Below are 17643 nucleotides of genomic sequence, written 5' to 3'. Positions count from 1 at the left end.
TTCTCTAGGAAGGACAGCTGGGTTTGATGTAAGTCATTGTAAGGTAGTCTCACTGGCCTGGGAGATTTCCTTTAACAAAGTGGAGGATCACAGCATGCTTCGTTGTCATTGAAATGGCATGAATTTTAAGCTGGAAGATGTTTTAAGCATAATTCATTGAGAGAGGTTTCCAGTATTTAAATGCCCCTGTCCAGAGATATTTCTTTAAATTGCATGAACAGTGTGTGATCCTTAATAAGGAAAACAGATTTGGGCCTTGACATTATACATCATCTAAATTAGGATACTTTTACTTGCGTAAACACGTAATTAAGTTGATGCAGTCTTAGCTAGAAGCAAAAAAGGTCAAGCCTTAACACATTTCAGCACCCTGGAAACTGCCATCCTAACCGAAGTTATACCTTCACAGGAAAACGCTTTCCAGCATCAAGCTTGTATCCCTCTGGGTCACAGACACAAATTGAAACCAAAAATCCTAGGGTAAACTTACTGGTGAGCAAATGGCAGCAAGTCTGGCTCCTGGCGTTGGAAAGAAGGAGGAAACTCAATGATGCCTTGGACAGACTAGAGGAGGTTTGGAAATTCATACCCTCAACACCACATTGTCATTTGCCCTCATTCCTCATAACACATTGCCATTGCCAAAATCTTGGTATTTTTTAACTTTTCTGATAATAAGCAAACTCTTGCTATTTGAGTACATTTTTAAATTTCCAAAATAAATACCACAAGTATGTGTGATTTTGTGAAATATTGATATATGGGATTTGGATTTAGGGAATCAATGAAGTAAAAAAAATGATTATGTTTTAACAATCAGAAGCTGATTCCTTAAGAATAAAATCTAACTTGACATAATGTTTGCTGGTGATGCTGCCTGGAAAATATAATCTTTTATATTTCAGATCTTTTGATTGTGTGTATTTGATTACCTAAGATTTCAAGTTTTAGATTCTGCAATTGGGAAATTTTTAGAAGCCCTGGGGAGTTAAGAGAGTGGCTAATAGTGCAGAGGGAGAGAGATTGAAGGGTTAGGTAAGTGCTGTTGATCTGGACCTGCTATCCCAGTGAGCATGACTAGTGGTGGTACTTAGAGCCGGACCACCTTTATGACTTTGGCATTAATCAGAAATTTACAGCTTAAGTTTTTAGGAATTTTATTTGTAAAGAAAAATCAGTGACAGCAATGGAATACATTTTAAAGGCAAAATGTTTCTAAGTCCCCTTTGCAAGATCATACCTCTTTTTGAAATGGGAAGGATATGTGTACTACCTAGAGAATCATTTCAAAAGTTATTCATATAGTATAGTCTACAATTTTAGTACAGCATTAACTCAATCAAAATACTTTTTGTCCTTTTAGCTGAGGGAATTTGCTAACTTTGATTTTGATATCTGGCGCAAAAAATACATGCGATGGATGAATCACAAGAAATCTCGAGTGATGGACTTCTTCAGGAGAATTGATAAAGACCAGGATGGGAAAATAACGCGGCAGGAATTTATTGATGGAATTCTTTCCTCAAGTAAGTTCCAAGACAGATGACTATGACTGATACAATTTTTAAAGGAAATAAGCACATTTTAAAAGTGTGGGTCTGGTAAACTTGTGTTACAATAAAGCATTGTCTTATAAGTTGCCTAGGAAGTCACGACCCTTAAAAAAATGTTTTTTTGGTAAAATTTGTGGCTCTGGAGTCAGGAACACTCACTAACTGTGTAATCACAGATATGTTGTTCCCTCCACTGAGGCTGAGAACTTGTTAGAATAATAAAGTTAATAATATATGATTCTTAAGGTGTTTTCTGTGTGTGTGTGTGTGTGTGTGTGTGTGTGTGTGTGTGTGTGTTGCCTGGCATATGTGTAATAGGAAGTCAATAAATTCAAGTCCCTTTTTCATTCTAATTCACATTCTGATCTAACTTTGTCATTAGTAGGAAATTAGAACTCTATAAAACTTCTTAAGATACTTATCACCTTTTTGTTTGATGGCCCAATCATTTGTATGTGATTTCCCTGACAGATGTTACTAGATGTCATTCTTAAGGTAAATTTCATATAATTTATTCTTTGACTAGCAATTGACCCATATAAAATTGCCAGTGTTAAACATTTTCAACCTAAAAAAACAGCATTTTATATGATTCACCTAAATAGTAATTAAAGATAAATTAAGATTATATATAACTCTTCATTTGCTGTGATGTAAATCAGTTTTTTAAAAAAGGATTTTAATATATTTGATCACTGATGATTTAACCAGCTACACTGAGATTGAAATGTGCAATTGAGAATGTCTTGAGAAAGAACTAACAAGTCACTACTTACCATTGTTTTCAAAATTTTAGAGTTTCCAACCAGTCGCTTGGAGATGAGCGCAGTTGCAGACATCTTTGACAGAGATGGCGATGGATATATTGACTACTATGAATTTGTAGCAGCCCTTCACCCAAATAAAGATGCATATAAACCTATCACAGATGCCGACAAAATCGAAGATGAGGTACTCATTATCTTCCCATTGCGTACAACACTGATAGTATGTTCTGCCACGATATCATGCACAATTCATACAACCATTTTATTTTCACTCTAATTGTTGTGTCAAAGTTTTAAGGATTGTACTATGTAATATTGACATTAAAGTAAATATTTCATCATTGTTTTTGGCAGGTGACAAGGCAGGTAGCTAAGTGTAAATGTGCAAAGCGATTTCAAGTTGAGCAGATTGGTGATAATAAATACAGGGTAAGTTTTCAAAGTAATGTTGTAGTTCCTTTAAAGGACATAAATTGAAATCTGTATACAATTTGATCTCCATTGTTTTCCAGGAGTCTTATTTATTTACTTTTTTACCTCATGTCAAAATTTAATGGTATATGAAACTCTTACATTTAACATTTTAATTTGTATAACGGCAGCCTGCATTTTGCATATTAGGAAATATCTTTGACATCTACATCATGCACATTACCTTTAAAGAAAAATTCACAAGAAAATACTCAAATCTCATATATTTAGGTTGCTTCATATTATTTTATATTTTGTTATGATTAGAGGTAAGTTTTCAGATTTCAAACAAGAAAGCTACTCTAATCCAGAACCACAAAGTTAAAAATATGGACTCATTTTAATAAATATGAAAAGAGAGGATAATGTCTTCTCCACTTGTGCAGTAATTTTTGCTTTTATTCAAAATCTCAATTAACTCGGTTCACTCTCTTCAAAACAGAAGAACAGTGTGACTTCATTACTCTTTCTCTATTTTTTTTTTTCTCTTTTGGAACATCTCTTATATGTAGTAGCTAGATAAGAAATGTGCTGAGTTTCCCCAATACAGTGTGCTACTTCTAAATGAAATATTATTTTTATTTTTATACTTAAAAAAATAATCATCAATGTATTCAAAATTTTAACTTAAATTTGAAATCCTAAGATTTTCAAAAATATGTGTACAGAAAATAGTCTGATTATTTGGTTTGAAATTGGGACAACTGGGTGCCTGCACATCTCTAAACTAGATACTACATCCAGAAGCACAGAGTGTGAGTATGTGTGTATGTTCTAGAGTCATACAGAAAGTTTCCTGTTGAACTAATTGTGTCTTTCTTCCATTTTTCATTTTTATCAGTTCTTCCTGGGAAATCAGGTATAAACCAGTGGAATGTATTCTCAAGTTCCTGATGATTTTTTTTTAACTTTAATTCATAGTCATTAAAGCTTGCCATGGCCAATCTTTCCCATGCTGTCTCCCTAGCTACTACATTGTTGGTTGGCGTGGTGTTTCTGTAAACGCTATAAGGGTCCTTGATCCAGGATTCCTTTTTGCCTTGTGTCTCTCAGATGAGGAGATTACTTTTAAGCAAACCAGATAATGAATTGTAGCTTGGCTTGCTACAATGTTACGAATGCAATTTTTAATTCCCATTTTTTATAATATGAGCATATATTTTATGCTAGTACTCATTGGAACACAAATTTGATTCTCCACACATCTCTGTGTTAGGCTCATTGGTGTTTAACTGTTTAGGACATACGGTCTACAGTAGCTGAGAAGGATCAGCCTCAGGCAGTGACACAGGAAGACAGAGAGCCAAGAGGTCTCCTTGGCACTCAGCCACAAGTAACAAGTTCTCTCCAAAGAAGCTATTTGCCATTTGTTCAAAATCACCAATTTTGGGGCTTGGCATCTCTGAGTAGAAATGTTAACTCAGTAGGCTTTAAGTAATATTCCTTTTGAGGAAAGTTATCGCTATAATATATGCAGAATCTTAAAGTCACATTTTATGCCATCTTGATCGAATATTTATATTATTGGCACTTAAGTCAATATAAAATGTTTATGTTGACATTTAAGTCAGTATAACCTGTGTAGTGGCACTACATCATGATCAGAATTTTGAAACTAAGGAGATACTCTGTTTTGATTTAAACATGTTCATGAAGCTTTTATTTTATTTTATTTTATTTTACTTTGGAAAGAACCATGCTATCTATAGTATCTGACCATATTACATTAGATATGACTCTGCCACTCCATTTTAAAGCCATATTACATCTCAAGCTTCAAATTATCTATTACCTTTATTTATTGCAAGCAAATAATTTATTTAAAATAGAAATAGTTACTTGGAATAGATTTTTAAAACTTCCATTAGTTATACTATAATACTGAAATGTTACTTTTCCATTCTTGCTATTTTCGGAGTCAGCAAATGGGAGAGCATCTTTTATTTGCAGAGAGAATGAGAGAAATACCTCAAAAGGTTTTACTCACTGAAAGCACAGTCAGCAACATTAGTCTATTTTCTCTTGTCTTGTGATTTGGTTACTGGGAATATTTAGAGAAATTCTGAAGATGATGTTAGTTGTCTGGAGAATGCCTAATTAAAACAGAAAATTATTTGTATTCATTACACTTGAAATATCATCTCTATAAGGAACTTTTAGTTATTTCCTTATAACTTTTGTTTTGAGTATAATCTTGAACCAAAATCATCTAGTCCCATTATCTGGTTCCTTAAGGGTAATTTTCTTTAAATCCCCTCCTTTCCCTTTGCTTATTAGCGGCACCAATTTTTTTCTAACAAAATAAATTTACACTTTTATTTTTAAATTTTAATTAACATTTCAGGAAGAATTATAGGAAAGTTTAAGTCTCAATGTTTAAGGAAAAAAGATTTAGAAATAGTGGTTTTTAAAAGTTTGATGGAAAAACACATGAGTTCCTGCTGGTGCATTTTACATGCTTTCTAGGTCCTTCTGAGTTTTAGGATCCTGAGGGATTTGGTTGGTATTGTTTTTGGGTTTTCTTCTTGAAACTCAGTATTAAAACACTGAAAAGTAGCAGATTTTTTTCTACCTAGAGTTTTCTGTTTATCCATCATGAGCCCAAATAAAGTCACAATTGTATGTTACCTGCTTTACAAAGAAGCCATTTATGTTTAATTGACTGTTCATTTTGCTTTCTTGTCTGCTGGGATGACAACCGTGAAATTCAGTCTGGTAGTTTTTATGAGTTGGACATGAACCTATTAGAAATGATTTAAAGTATAAAATCATTTCTCACAGGCTTTCAAAACATAAACCTGTGATCAGAAACCTGGAATCTAGAAATTTATTCAGGACTTGCAGAATTTGTAGCATATCTACATTATTGGAGATCTATTGAAAGGGCAAGAAAAAGATGATTGCCTGTTAGTATCAACAGTTATGGTACAGACAACTATGAGAGAAACCTTTTAGATTTGGCAGCTGTATCATTAATAATGTGTCATTGGCTATTCTAATATTACAGTAATCTAAAATGGCATATTAATCCAGCCTTTAACAAATTGGTTTACCAGATCATTAGGGATGCAGAAATTTTAGTTGACTGTGAAATTTATATGAGTCATACTCATTTACTTTATTCTTTTTAAGTGAAAACTGCCCTTACAGAAAAGAAAATGAGTTTATAAAGATTTCTCACAGAGTTCAGTGGAAAACGGTTTTACTGTAAGAGAGAGTTTAATGAAGAAGAATCAAAGCTTATTAAATTTTTCTTAGAATCATTTTATTTTGGATAAGCCCTGGGCAAGTGGGCCAGTGCTTACTTTCATGGCTATGTTTAATTCCTAGAAACATTTTAAAATTACTGCCTTACTAATATTGTTTCTGTCATAAGAAAGAAAAATAATTTTTAGACCAAAGCTTTGGTAGTATACTTGATAACCTTTGTAATCTTTTTTTTTTCAAACTGTTTCCTTTGGGCTAAATCAGCATGCAGCCGTCTAACACAAATCATTACAAACCCCCTTTTCTGAGATTTTACTAATCGCTATGAACTAAGCAAGAAATTAAAGTCGGTTGCTTTAGCTACTGCAAATTGCACATCATCCTGTAGTTTAGAATTATTATTGACAACTAGAGGTTCTTTCTTTCTTCACTGAACAGTTTGGAGACTCCCAGCAACTGCGACTGGTCCGGATCCTGCGGAGTACTGTGATGGTTCGTGTTGGAGGTGGATGGATGGCACTTGATGAGTTCTTAGTGAAAAATGATCCTTGCAGGGGTAAGGAGATGCTTATCATGATAACATCATGAAAGTATTTCAATTTTATATTATATCCAGCACCAAAACATACTGGGCATAATTTTGGTCATTTATTCCAATAGTGAATGTTTCACATTGGTCTGTCAGCCTAAAGTTCCCAAAGAACCTGTGGCAGTCATGTAAACCATATTCTTCTCATTTTTTTCTTTCTTTTTTTTTTTTTTTTTTACTTTTTCTGGATAAATATGGTGGGCGGGAAATACTAGAATCCATTTTCTTTAGGAGACTTTTACATCTACGATTTTCCAAACAATTATACCAACCAAGGAAAGGATTTTGTCTGTTATGACATAGCAAAGTAAGAGAAAAGAAAATTGAGGTGATGAAGACCGAAAATACTGGATAATAAAAGTTTAAAGGTCAAAGTTTTTATGAAATGAAGAGCAGGTGAGGAAAGCCATAATTAAAAAATTTTTAAATAATAATCCAATGCTAACTTGACTCTTTGAAGTTGCAGATTAGAACATTAAAAATATAAACATATAATACTATAGCTCTCTACATATCTTCCAGCCCAAGTCCTAAGTTAGCTTTTAATTTTTCTGTTTTGAGATCCTTCTGTCAATTTTTAAGTTCTCAACCAATTTACGTTACACGTGGTCATTTGATTGCAATTTCTAATTAGGTACCAATTACTCAGTAGGCCCATTTTTCTTCCCCCCCAAGAAAAAAACAATAAAATTGTTATAATTTTCTTTTACCTGTGAGCTCACTGTAATCCTTTTTAGCAAACAACAAATGTTCACGTCAGTGCTGTCTCCTTCAGCTACCAAGTGGGATCCCAGGTTTCCTCCTGTAGGGCCTCTTGGTTTTGGTGATGGTGTCACCATCTGGTACACATAGACATATCAGTCATCAGGCTTCTCCACCAAGGCCACCATGGATTGTTATACATGTTATACAGTAGCCCTGCTCTCTCCTGGCCAAAGACACACCTGCGAGAGAAGTAAAACAAGAACAAAAGCTCCTGTTTGTTTTATATTTTGAAAATAATGTAGCCTAAGGTAAAATGCAACTCCATTTATGAAGAAATCAGAATACATAGTGTTCTGTTGGGTTGCTTAGGAAGGTTAGCATGGCTGTGGCACAGTCTTCCAAATACATTTTTCTTATTGAGCCAATCCCTTGAGTGCTTCTTTTCCTGATGCAACTTTTCTTCTAAAATGTGTGCTAAAGGCCAGATGTGAGCACCCTTTGCATATTCAACTACTGTACTTTGTTTCTTCTTCTGCTAACAGTATTCTTTAATGTGATTGGTATCCTGTGTCATTTTTTCTAGTTCATCATCATGGGAGTAAAATGTTACGTTCGGAATCAAACTCTTCAATTACTACTACTCAGCCTACTATAGGTTGGCAACCTCTCTCTTTGCCTCTCCCCTCTTTCCTTTTCTCTTTCCTACTTTTCCATTCTTGCTTCAGTCATTTGTTTTAAAATAACATGCTTCATCCATCGCGTATGGCTTAACTCATATCCAGCTGAGCTGGTGCTTCCAAATTTAAATTCTGAAAATTTGATGACTTTGGTTGTGTTACACATGCAGGTGTTATAAGTGATCAAACACATGCTAACACGTTGCTCACCGGGTTCTTGTGGAGTGTTCTCCGTGTGCGTATGTGTTTGTATGAGTGCTGCATCACTGACTACCTCACAGATCCTTGGGTCTGGTGTTTGTTATTGCATGTTGGTAAAACAGTTTTTCAAGGCATAAAATAAAAATACTAGCTGCCTCATTTAAGTGAAAAATCCAGAAGTTTATATGTTGTCATCATGACTAACAAGCCATCAATCATTGTGTGTAATTATATTCTTTAATTTATCCCCATGTTGAAATACTGGCATTCTCTTTACCTCAATAGTACATGCAAAAGACACAGTCCCTGCCTTACTGGTCTGTCTTCTCAGTGTGATGAGAGGGTAATGAAACCATGTGGGCATCTGTAGCTGGTGGATTAATGATATTTTAGCATGAGCTTTCCATTTTCATGCTGACACTTTCTTTAATAGTGGTTATTCTTGCTGGTGTCTAGTGTTAGAATAAGCACACTTTATTTTTTCCTCCCCGAACTCACCTGTATCCAAAAGGAATGCATTGTAAAGGAATGCATTTAACTTTTTGTTATGCTGAGTTGGAGTTGGCATGGCAAAAAGATGTTCTTGAAATTCTCAACGTGATCTCTGGTGCCAGGTGGCCGTTCTTCCCATTAACGATTGAGCGCCTCTTCTTTTCCGTCTTTTCTTTGTGTGCATTGTTGTGTGTGTATAACCCAGCCAAAGGAAGGACAAACATGGAACTGCGTGAGAAGTTCATTTTAGCAGATGGTGCCAGCCAGGGTATGGCTGCTTTCCGACCCCGAGGCCGAAGATCCCGGCCATCATCACGAGGCGCTTCACCCAACAGATCCACTTCTGTGTCCAGTCAGGCTGCGCAGGCGGCCTCCCCACAGGTCCCTGCCACCACCACACCCAAGGTAAGACTCAGGATGAAGACTTTTCCTCCACCTTTGCAATCAATGTCCCAAGTAGACTTTTGAATGTTCTATTTAGGGCCCTAGAATTTGTAGGACCAGCTATCTCCATTTGTGCACCTTCTCATACTGTGGGAAATACAGGAATTTTTTTTTGAATGTATGCTTTTGCCTAGTGGCCCACATAGAGATGATCTATTTAGGAAGCCTTTGTGATCTTCCAGATTGATTTTTCTTTTTAAAGCTTCATTCATTTTTTTGGTGTGTATGATTTGCCATTGGATCTTTTCACTTATTTTAAATTATTATTCTTACTGTGAAATGTGACTCTTTGCTATGAATATCTCTTTCTGTGGCTTTGTTTTTTTTATCTGCTATCCTTTTCATTTGATTTGCCATTGTTCCATACAGATTCTCCATCCTTTAACACGCAATTATGGTAAACCATGGTTGACAAACAGCAAAATGTCAACTCCTTGTAAAGCAGCAGAGTGCTCAGACTTTCCCGTGCCATCTGCAGAGGTATTGTAAGGCCCCAGAGTCCAGTCTTAACATTCTCCTTTAACTGAAGCTATCACTCACTAACATCGTTGCACCACTCCCTAAATATATGTACTTTGCTAACCCTATGTCTTTTTATACACTTCTATAAGATAAGTATCAACCGAGCAGTTCTTGGAAGATGTGAGAGTAAGGGGTTAACAGAAAAGATAGTCTGCAGCTCTTTAAACAGTGTCAATTTGACCCAGTCACTCCTGCAGACTACCTCCTTTTTGTTCTCATTCGTACTTAGTTCCACTGTTATCTCTTGGGAGAGTAACATAGAGTAGGTTATAGCCAGACTTAAGTAAAATTTCTTTTAAAGCTACTAAATATACTAGATATAATATGGGCAAGAAGTGCAACACATTCCCTTCAAATGGGAGTAAAAGGCAGTATGATTTGCAAGAGCATCACTGAAAAGAATGTTTACTGAATGTTCACTGTGGGCATGGTCCTTCTGGATGTCTGTTACATTTATACCTGCCCCAAAACTTTGGGCAGGTGTGACATAAGCTCTCAGTATCAGTGCAGGGGGGTCAGAGGGGTAGGCTTAGGTATGCAGAAAGTTATTTGTCATTTTCAACAGGTAATAAATGTATGGGTTTTTTTTAAAGATTTTAATAACTAATTTAAGCATGCTCTAACTTTTTAATACGGCATGATATATGGGGAGAAGATATTTAGGTGATATAAAATTTGCCAAGATGAACTCATGTATCAGGTCATTTACATTCAATTGAAAATCAGCTGTATATCTTTTTAAGAAATTTCACTGTGAAACAACAGACATAGGTACAAAATAATCAGATATTTTATTAGAATCCCAATAATTAGTGGGGAAAAATCCCTAAATACCTTTTCTTGAAATTGAAGAAGGTATTTCACCTTAATGATAAAGGACGTAACTTAAAGGCCAGGATCCTCAAATAAAAGTAATATAATAACTTTTAAAAGCCCTCTTATGCTTTTCAAAACACTTTCTTGTCTGTTACTTAATCCTCACATTAATAATAAGTGACAGGCAGAGAAAAAATGTGTTACCTTCATGACTCCATGGCAATCTCATTGCTGAGAAGTGGGAGAATTGGAACAAAAACAACCCATTCTTTAGCGTTTCCTCATTTCTTCCTCCTCATTTTCCCAAGCCCCTCATTTCCACCCCTTCCCACCAACTGGGTGATGTTAGTATTATATATTACCTCTAGAGATGTCTGTCAATTATTATGGATCTATTATAGCAAAAACAGAGAAAGGTTCAAACAACCTCAAGGGACATATTAACATTTGCTTTAAATATTGAAGGCTATGATGCTGTGTTCAAAATTTTTTTTAAGTGGAAACTCTCTCAAAGTCTAAGTAGTTATTTTGACTAGTGCAAAACTGTGTTTCATTTCAAATAACGTGATGAAACAAAAAACCAAAAAACAACATGTTTCTATGGGAGGGACTGTGAAATAAAATCAAAACAATCAAGGCATTCTGAGAAGAATGATTTTGGTCTTTCACGGTTATGAATTCTGCCACCTTGAGTGGTATGTTTCATAATTTGTGGCTTCTCACTCCCTCGTGTTGTTGAGATTCTGTTTAAGTTAGGAATTTAGCTAGATCAGCATTGTCAGATCTTGGGCAAATCATGTGCCTCCTCAGGCTCTTGATTTTTCACATTTTCAAGGTTATGATTAGGTGAGTGTGAGGATTAATTGTGGTTATGTGTGTAAAAGTATTTTGAAAACTTGAACATTCTATGTATACAAATCACATATAGATACTACACTTAAGTGTATGTATAGTATACACATATGTAGATAAATGACTATTAATATTAATAAGAGTAACTCATGTATCAGATGATTATAACATTTTAAGCTAATAAAGGGAAAATCAGTTGTTTAAAAATATACATGTAATTTGTTTCAATGCATTTCCTCCAAATAGTTCTCTGGCTGTGTTTTCATTGAGGAATATTATATTACATTCCCTATGTTCCTCAAGATACTTGTTTATTTTTTTTAACTTTGGGAGAATTTTTTAAATGTTGTGATCTGGAAAAAGTGCAATGATTGTATAATAAAATCTCATACTTATGATTGTTTTAGACATTCTCTACAAACTCATATAAAGATTGTAAAAAAAAAACTTCTCCAAATGTTGCCTATGTATTTTGTCTGTAAAGACTGTAGAAGTGATAGAGCCAGGAAGTGAAGTGATGTGGTAGCAAGTTATTTAAAAATCACTTTTTTTCTTTTTGCAGTTAAGTTTATTTAAATGATGTCTGTATCCATTATTTATTTACTTATCATTCTGTGTCTGTCTCTGCCTGGCTCCATAAAAGCAATGGAGGCAGCAGAATATCCAGACACAGTTTTTCTCTGCTCCATGCCCCCTCTATGCATGCAGTCACCATCTTTTTAGCAATACACCATTAACTCTGGAATATTCACTGACAGTCTGAAAGATACTAACATACTCACCATTTATTTCTCCTTGCCATCACTTTTATGCTCAGTTTTGGGGGTCTCCATTTTGTTTTCTCTTCAACCATGAATTCATATTGTTTAGAAAGTTTCTTTGAATTCTGAGAGAGAATGAGAAATTAGAAGAGAAAATCAAGTGAGAACCCCATGCCTTATTTAATTGAAGAGTTTCTCCCCCTTCACCTCCTAAAGAGGAATAGTAGAGAGTTTCCACCCATATGTAAAGAAGTGGTGTCAGTGGAATATCATGGTACAGGAGCAATATTTTGAAATGTCTTGTTGCTGGTTAAATACAGGGAACGCCAATACAAGGAAGCAAGCTTCGACTTCCAGGATATTTATCAGGGAAAGGCTTCCACTCTGGGGAGGACAGTGGCTTGATAACAACTGCAGCTGCCAGAGTCCGAACACAGTTTGCTGGTGAGTGTGGTGCCTTTCTTTTTTCAATGGCTTTTGCAGCATGGTCATCTGAGGATTAAAGTCCCTTTTCCTCCTCATTGGGGAAGAAATTACAAATTGACCCTGAGGTAGTCTTAAAATGATATGTAGCCCCAGTCCTCCAAAAGTTGGGGATAAAGTGAGTCATGGGTGCAAGTGTCTAAAAGTGTCCAAGAAAGATGAAAGAATTACTGTACAACAGAGGAAAATATACAGTGGTATTCTACCCCTTCAAGCTGAAAGATTTTGGCTCTTCTGCCAGCTCAGCGATTGCACAGGGCCCTGTTTTGGGGTGGTTGGAAGAACCCAGCCACACTGAGCCTCACACCAGTGTAGCTCACATTGCTTCGCAAAATAATGAACCTACTAATCTCTGGGTTCTGAGCTCAGCAAGCAAGAAGCCTCTTTAAAGTTTCCAATCTCATCTGTTGAATTCCTACATTCTTGGAGTTACCTATTCTTGGGCAAGACTTAAACCTGTCTTGTTTGTTCTATGTTTGCATCACACGCATCCCTGGAGGCATAATTTAAACTTTAGAAAGCACAATCTTAAAGGATAGGTATATTCCTTATGTCTGTTTGCAATAAATGGAATCCTGTTTTAAGTAGGGGAAGCCGAAACTTACCTTGTAGTTGGAAATCTAGCCTTTTCTATATTATGTCTACTTAGAGTAAGCCTGCATACCCTTGTGTAATAGAGAAAGGCTGTGAATCCACAACTGTTTTCTGAGTGCCTACTACACACCAGGAAAAAAAGTTAAGATTAAAGGTGGCATCGGGTTTCAAAAATTAGTTGCAGATGGACCCAATAATAAGGGTGAGCTGTCTCTACCTTCTTTCCTCAGATTCCAAGAAGACTCCCAGCCGACCAGGAAGTCGAGCTGGAAGCAAAGCTGGCAGCAGGGCCAGCAGCCGCCGAGGCAGTGATGCATCAGACTTTGACATTTCAGAAATCCAGTCCGTGTGCTCAGATGTGGAAACTGTCCCCCAGACACACAGACCTACACCCCGAGCAGGTTCTCGGCCATCCACAGCGAAGCCTTCAAAAATCCCCACGCCCCAGAGGAAATCACCTGCCAGCAAATTGGACAAGTCCTCAAAGAGATAGTGCAATTGGTTCTACCAAGGCCCTTCCTTGAGCATTTATTATTTAAGTTTGAACGATGTAAAATATGGTGTAGAAATTCTTGTGAAATATTGCAAGAGGCGAGTTTAAAATTCTGCAGATGGCCTTATTTGTGTATTTGTCTTTTTATTTTATCTGTATAATTTTTTTTGTCAGATATTCTGGGGTTAAAGTCACATCATATGTGAGGAGGAAAAGTTTAACATGAACTAACATTTCTGCACTGTAACGTGCCGGGCACACACTAAACTCAGTTACTGTACCTACAGGTAAGTCTACATCCTCTCTGACAGCCACAGCACTACATCAATCCCTGACGTTAGGGATACCTCATGACATTTTCCTGTTTTTATGGAAACTCTGAGAAGCTGAATGATACATGCAGGGGATATTTTTTGAGATGATTTAAATGTAAACCAAAAGATGGAAGACAAAAAGACAAACACACCCACACGCAGTCTTTGCAGTATCTGACAGAGAACTCACAGGAAGTTACTTCAAGCACTTGCCAGTACTATGATATTCAAGTACCTTGCAGCATTTCTCTGCCATTGCTTTCAATGAGGCCAGAGGCATCCTGGATATTAGACCTATTATACTGTAAGAATATAAGTATAAAGTGCGTTCATATACATGTGAGGTTTTCTTTTGCTTGAGTGGACAGTAGCACCTGTATCATTGAACTCATTTTGTATCAGAGCAATTTTGCTTGCAGAAAGCTATGAAATAAAACACGTCCCTTAACTGCATTGCTATGGAATTAATTTTTTTTCCCCAGGGAAAACTAGTGTATTTTTTTATGAGCAATATCAATTTGGAGTGACCAAAAGATACTTAAAAATGGGTTTATTTTGATTTCTCATCTGAAATAATCATGTTCTGGTATTATATCTATCTATATTTAATAAATATATACATTTTAATTTATTATGTGTACTCACATACTATAGAAAGATATTAGTATGCATTTAATAAAACATATTCACTTGAATATATGGAATACCTGATTATTTAAAGTGAACTTCTTCTATTATTTGTTTTAAATAAAGGTTATATGTATGATATATGTTTACTAAGAAACAAATAGGGTAAATTTGGGGGACATCAAAAACAGGGAGTTATAATAATGTTAACCACTCTTTCAACAAATATTTCTAATAAGTATTAGCCATGCACCAGCCATTGTAAGTGACATGAAACTATAAGGTTCCTGCCCTCCCCTCTTCAAGAGGGAATCAGTTAATAAGTCACTAAAAAGCAAGGGATGTGTGGCAGGATTACAGATTTAATTAAGGTAATATAGTAGTATTCTTCTGGCCTCTGTACATTTAAAAGTCAAATTGTAAAATTTTCCTGAATATGAAAATAGTATCAGATATCCTCAGAAGGATGGCAGGTTGTAACTTTAGGTATGAGGGTCCCAACATTCTGCATAACTTTGTGGATTTGCTGTAGCAAATGTCACTGATGGTGTTCAGATTCAAGGGAACATTATTACATTTTTCTTTCTTGGCCTTTTCAGTGGAGGCCAACACTGAAGAGCCTGGAGTTTCTATTGGCATAAATTAGGTGCTATTTTTAAGCAATAGTAATCCCTTCTTTGTCCAGGCATGGGTCTCAGGTGGGAGCCCTTGATGAGAAGGGGAATTCTAACCTATGAGATCACATGCTATTTAGTTCATGCATTTGATTATTAACATGTCATCTTAGAAGGCAATTGAAATTGTTTTTATTCCTTTAGTGCTTTGCATATGATCACATTTCCACTTCAAAGACAAATTTAAGGCAATGATTTTTATCTCAGTCTGTTTCTATGCTACCCCTCCGAAAGAGCTAGGGGTTTTTCTTTTTAAGTAGTAAAATAAGCTTTTTGGAAAAGATAAGTGGTTTAAAATAAGAGAAGTCTTAAGGAACTGCTCCCAGTTGTCAGTATTTGCCCCAGGTGAGCTTTTCAAACTTTGACATGATGCCTACTCATTTCTTTCCTCTTGTGCTAATAGTCCTAGAGCCTCAGGCTGACTTCTCTAGTGTCCTGTAAGTTTCAGTTAATGTAACAGAAACCTCTTCCCCACCCTACACACATTCCTTCTCTTTTCTTTTTCTCTTTCTTTTTTTCGTTTTTTTTTTTTTTTTTTTCTTTAAAAAAAAGAACACTACAGTGAATCTCAACTCTAAAAATCTTAATTGGAAAAATTGAATCTTAAGCATTAGGGAAGTTGAATCGTGGACTTTTTTTGTTTTAAAAATCAAAGCTCCTAATTCGCATGTACTGCTACCTTCTTTGGAAATAGTGGACTGTCCTCTTTGACATCCGTGCAGAAGTAGATGGGCCTGGCCAAGTCTCGGATATAGGTGGGAGAGTTTGGGAAGTGCCCCCATGGCTGTCCGGGATTGACCTGTAAAATGAAAAGGAGGCGGAGGAGAAGAAAGGATCTTGTTTCCTTTTTTGGATCATTTTAAAAGTTGCTTTCCGTATTTGTAGTAAGGGAAATTGTAATGAGATACAGTTATCTATTCCTTTTTGACAAGGTGCTTTGAAATGTGTGTTTTTATTGTTAAATGGTGATCTGATACCACCAAACAGTACATTTGCCATGCCTGCTTGTCTGTGTATGTCTGATGCCACTGCCACTGGGGTCCCACAAAGAAGGCAAAGACACTTGAGCTTTGTCTTTTAGTATAATACTTTAGTAACTAAGGTCCTTTCAGGCATGTTGAGGATGGACTTGTCAGTTACCAAAATCTGCTTGGAAGTCAGTAGAGTAAAGGACAAGGTGTTTGGGCAGGAAATAGTTTGTATGACTATTTGAAATATCTGACTTAACCTACCAAACTCTGCAACTTTGGTTGATTTTATGTAACTCTTAACGTCTATGTAGATGTTGAGTGTCTAGCTAGGGTGAAGTATAACAAAAATAGGTTTCTTTTTTTTCTTGCTACTACTTCTCATGTGCTAAGTTAAGAATATATGTAAAGCAAAGTGTGTTAAGGGAATAATATTAGTTTACCCACATTTTTATCATACTTCATTATTGCAAATTAAAAGACTTTAACAGAGAAGAAAATAAAATAGAGGTTAAGAAGTTTTCAACAATTTCCCCCAAATAAAAATAAAACATTCTTTTAGAATGTTACTAATCTTAAAGTACAGTTATTTTTGCCCCAGCGCAAAGACTAGGAAATGTAGTTCCCACAGCCTTAGACTCCAACTTCTATGCCAATGGCCTCTAGACTTCTTGGTTGGCATCTTCTTATCAGTAAAAGTTTTTCTGTGCAAACACCCCCATATATATATATATTAATTTATCCCAAGATATTATTTGCACATATTTTATCATTAGCTAATTTCTCAGGGCTCACTCTAATCTTAAAATTTATCCTAACAACATTGGTGTACATCCTTAGTTCAAATAGTCTTCATAATTATTTTGGCCAAGTTTTTGCCAAATCAGATGAGACTCTTTCTGGTTTAACTCCTGGTGTGGCTGAGTTTTGCCAAATCAGATGAGATTCTCTCTGGTTTAACGCCTGATATTTAACTCCTTTGTTCTAGGAGAAGCGTTGTCTCTGCCATTTTTCTTATTGCTTGTTTGTTTCTTGCATTATAAACATCTTAAATCCACGGTTCTGTTGCAGGGATCTGTTTAAGCCTTTTTTTTTTTTGTAAAGATTATTTAATTCAGAAGAGTTAATAAAAATCTGTACATTCACCCAACTTGACATAAATAAACTTCGGTTTGCTGCATGCTAAAAGCAACCCAAAGAGTGTGGGAACTGTTGGGACTTCCACTCTGCCCTTGGGTCACCTAAGCTACAGATCGTGAGAAGATGCAAACGATGTCGATGTCACTGGAGAGATGGTAGCAGTGTCAGTCTGTAGTAAATGTTAGTAAAGGTAATTTCCTCCTCTTTTAAGATGAAATGTAAATATAAATAGACATTTTCTTCCAACATTCTATGAAGTTACTTTACATAATCTAATTTTAGGGATCATTGTT

At 35.7% G+C, this 17643-nt stretch overlaps 1 protein-coding gene across 10 annotated transcripts in view; it reads left to right on the top strand.

The window, feature by feature from the left end:
* The window catches only part of DST (dystonin), a 496835-nt gene extending 482199 nt beyond the window's left edge, over positions 1-14636 (top strand). For 6 of the 10 annotated variants that reach the window (NM_001144769.5, NM_001374722.1, NM_001374734.1 and 3 more), the window contains 10 exons: positions 410-573; positions 1364-1526; positions 2350-2504; positions 2675-2749; positions 3633-3650; positions 6437-6554; positions 8868-9067; positions 9476-9586; positions 12378-12501; positions 13365-14636. In NM_001144769.5, coding sequence (NP_001138241.1) covers positions 410-573; positions 1364-1526; positions 2350-2504; positions 2675-2749; positions 3633-3650; positions 6437-6554; positions 8868-9067; positions 9476-9586; positions 12378-12501; positions 13365-13627 — 1391 coding nt within the window. In that variant the 3' untranslated portion in view covers positions 13628-14636. Of the gene's footprint in view, positions 1-409; positions 574-1363; positions 1527-2349; positions 2505-2674; positions 2750-3632; positions 3651-6436; positions 6555-7875; positions 7948-8867; positions 9068-9475; positions 9587-12377; positions 12502-13364 lie in introns of all 10 variants that reach the window. The other 4 variants (NM_001374730.1, NM_001374729.1, NM_001374736.1 and 1 more) reach the window with 3 other exon arrangements.

The sequence above is a fragment of the Homo sapiens genome, chromosome 6 (assembly GCF_000001405.40).
Source record: "Homo sapiens chromosome 6, GRCh38.p14 Primary Assembly".
NCBI classification, from domain to species: Eukaryota; Metazoa; Chordata; class Mammalia; order Primates; family Hominidae; genus Homo; species Homo sapiens.
The sequence above is the reverse complement of the archived record's forward strand: the minus strand, read 5'-3'. Positions and strand labels throughout refer to the sequence as shown.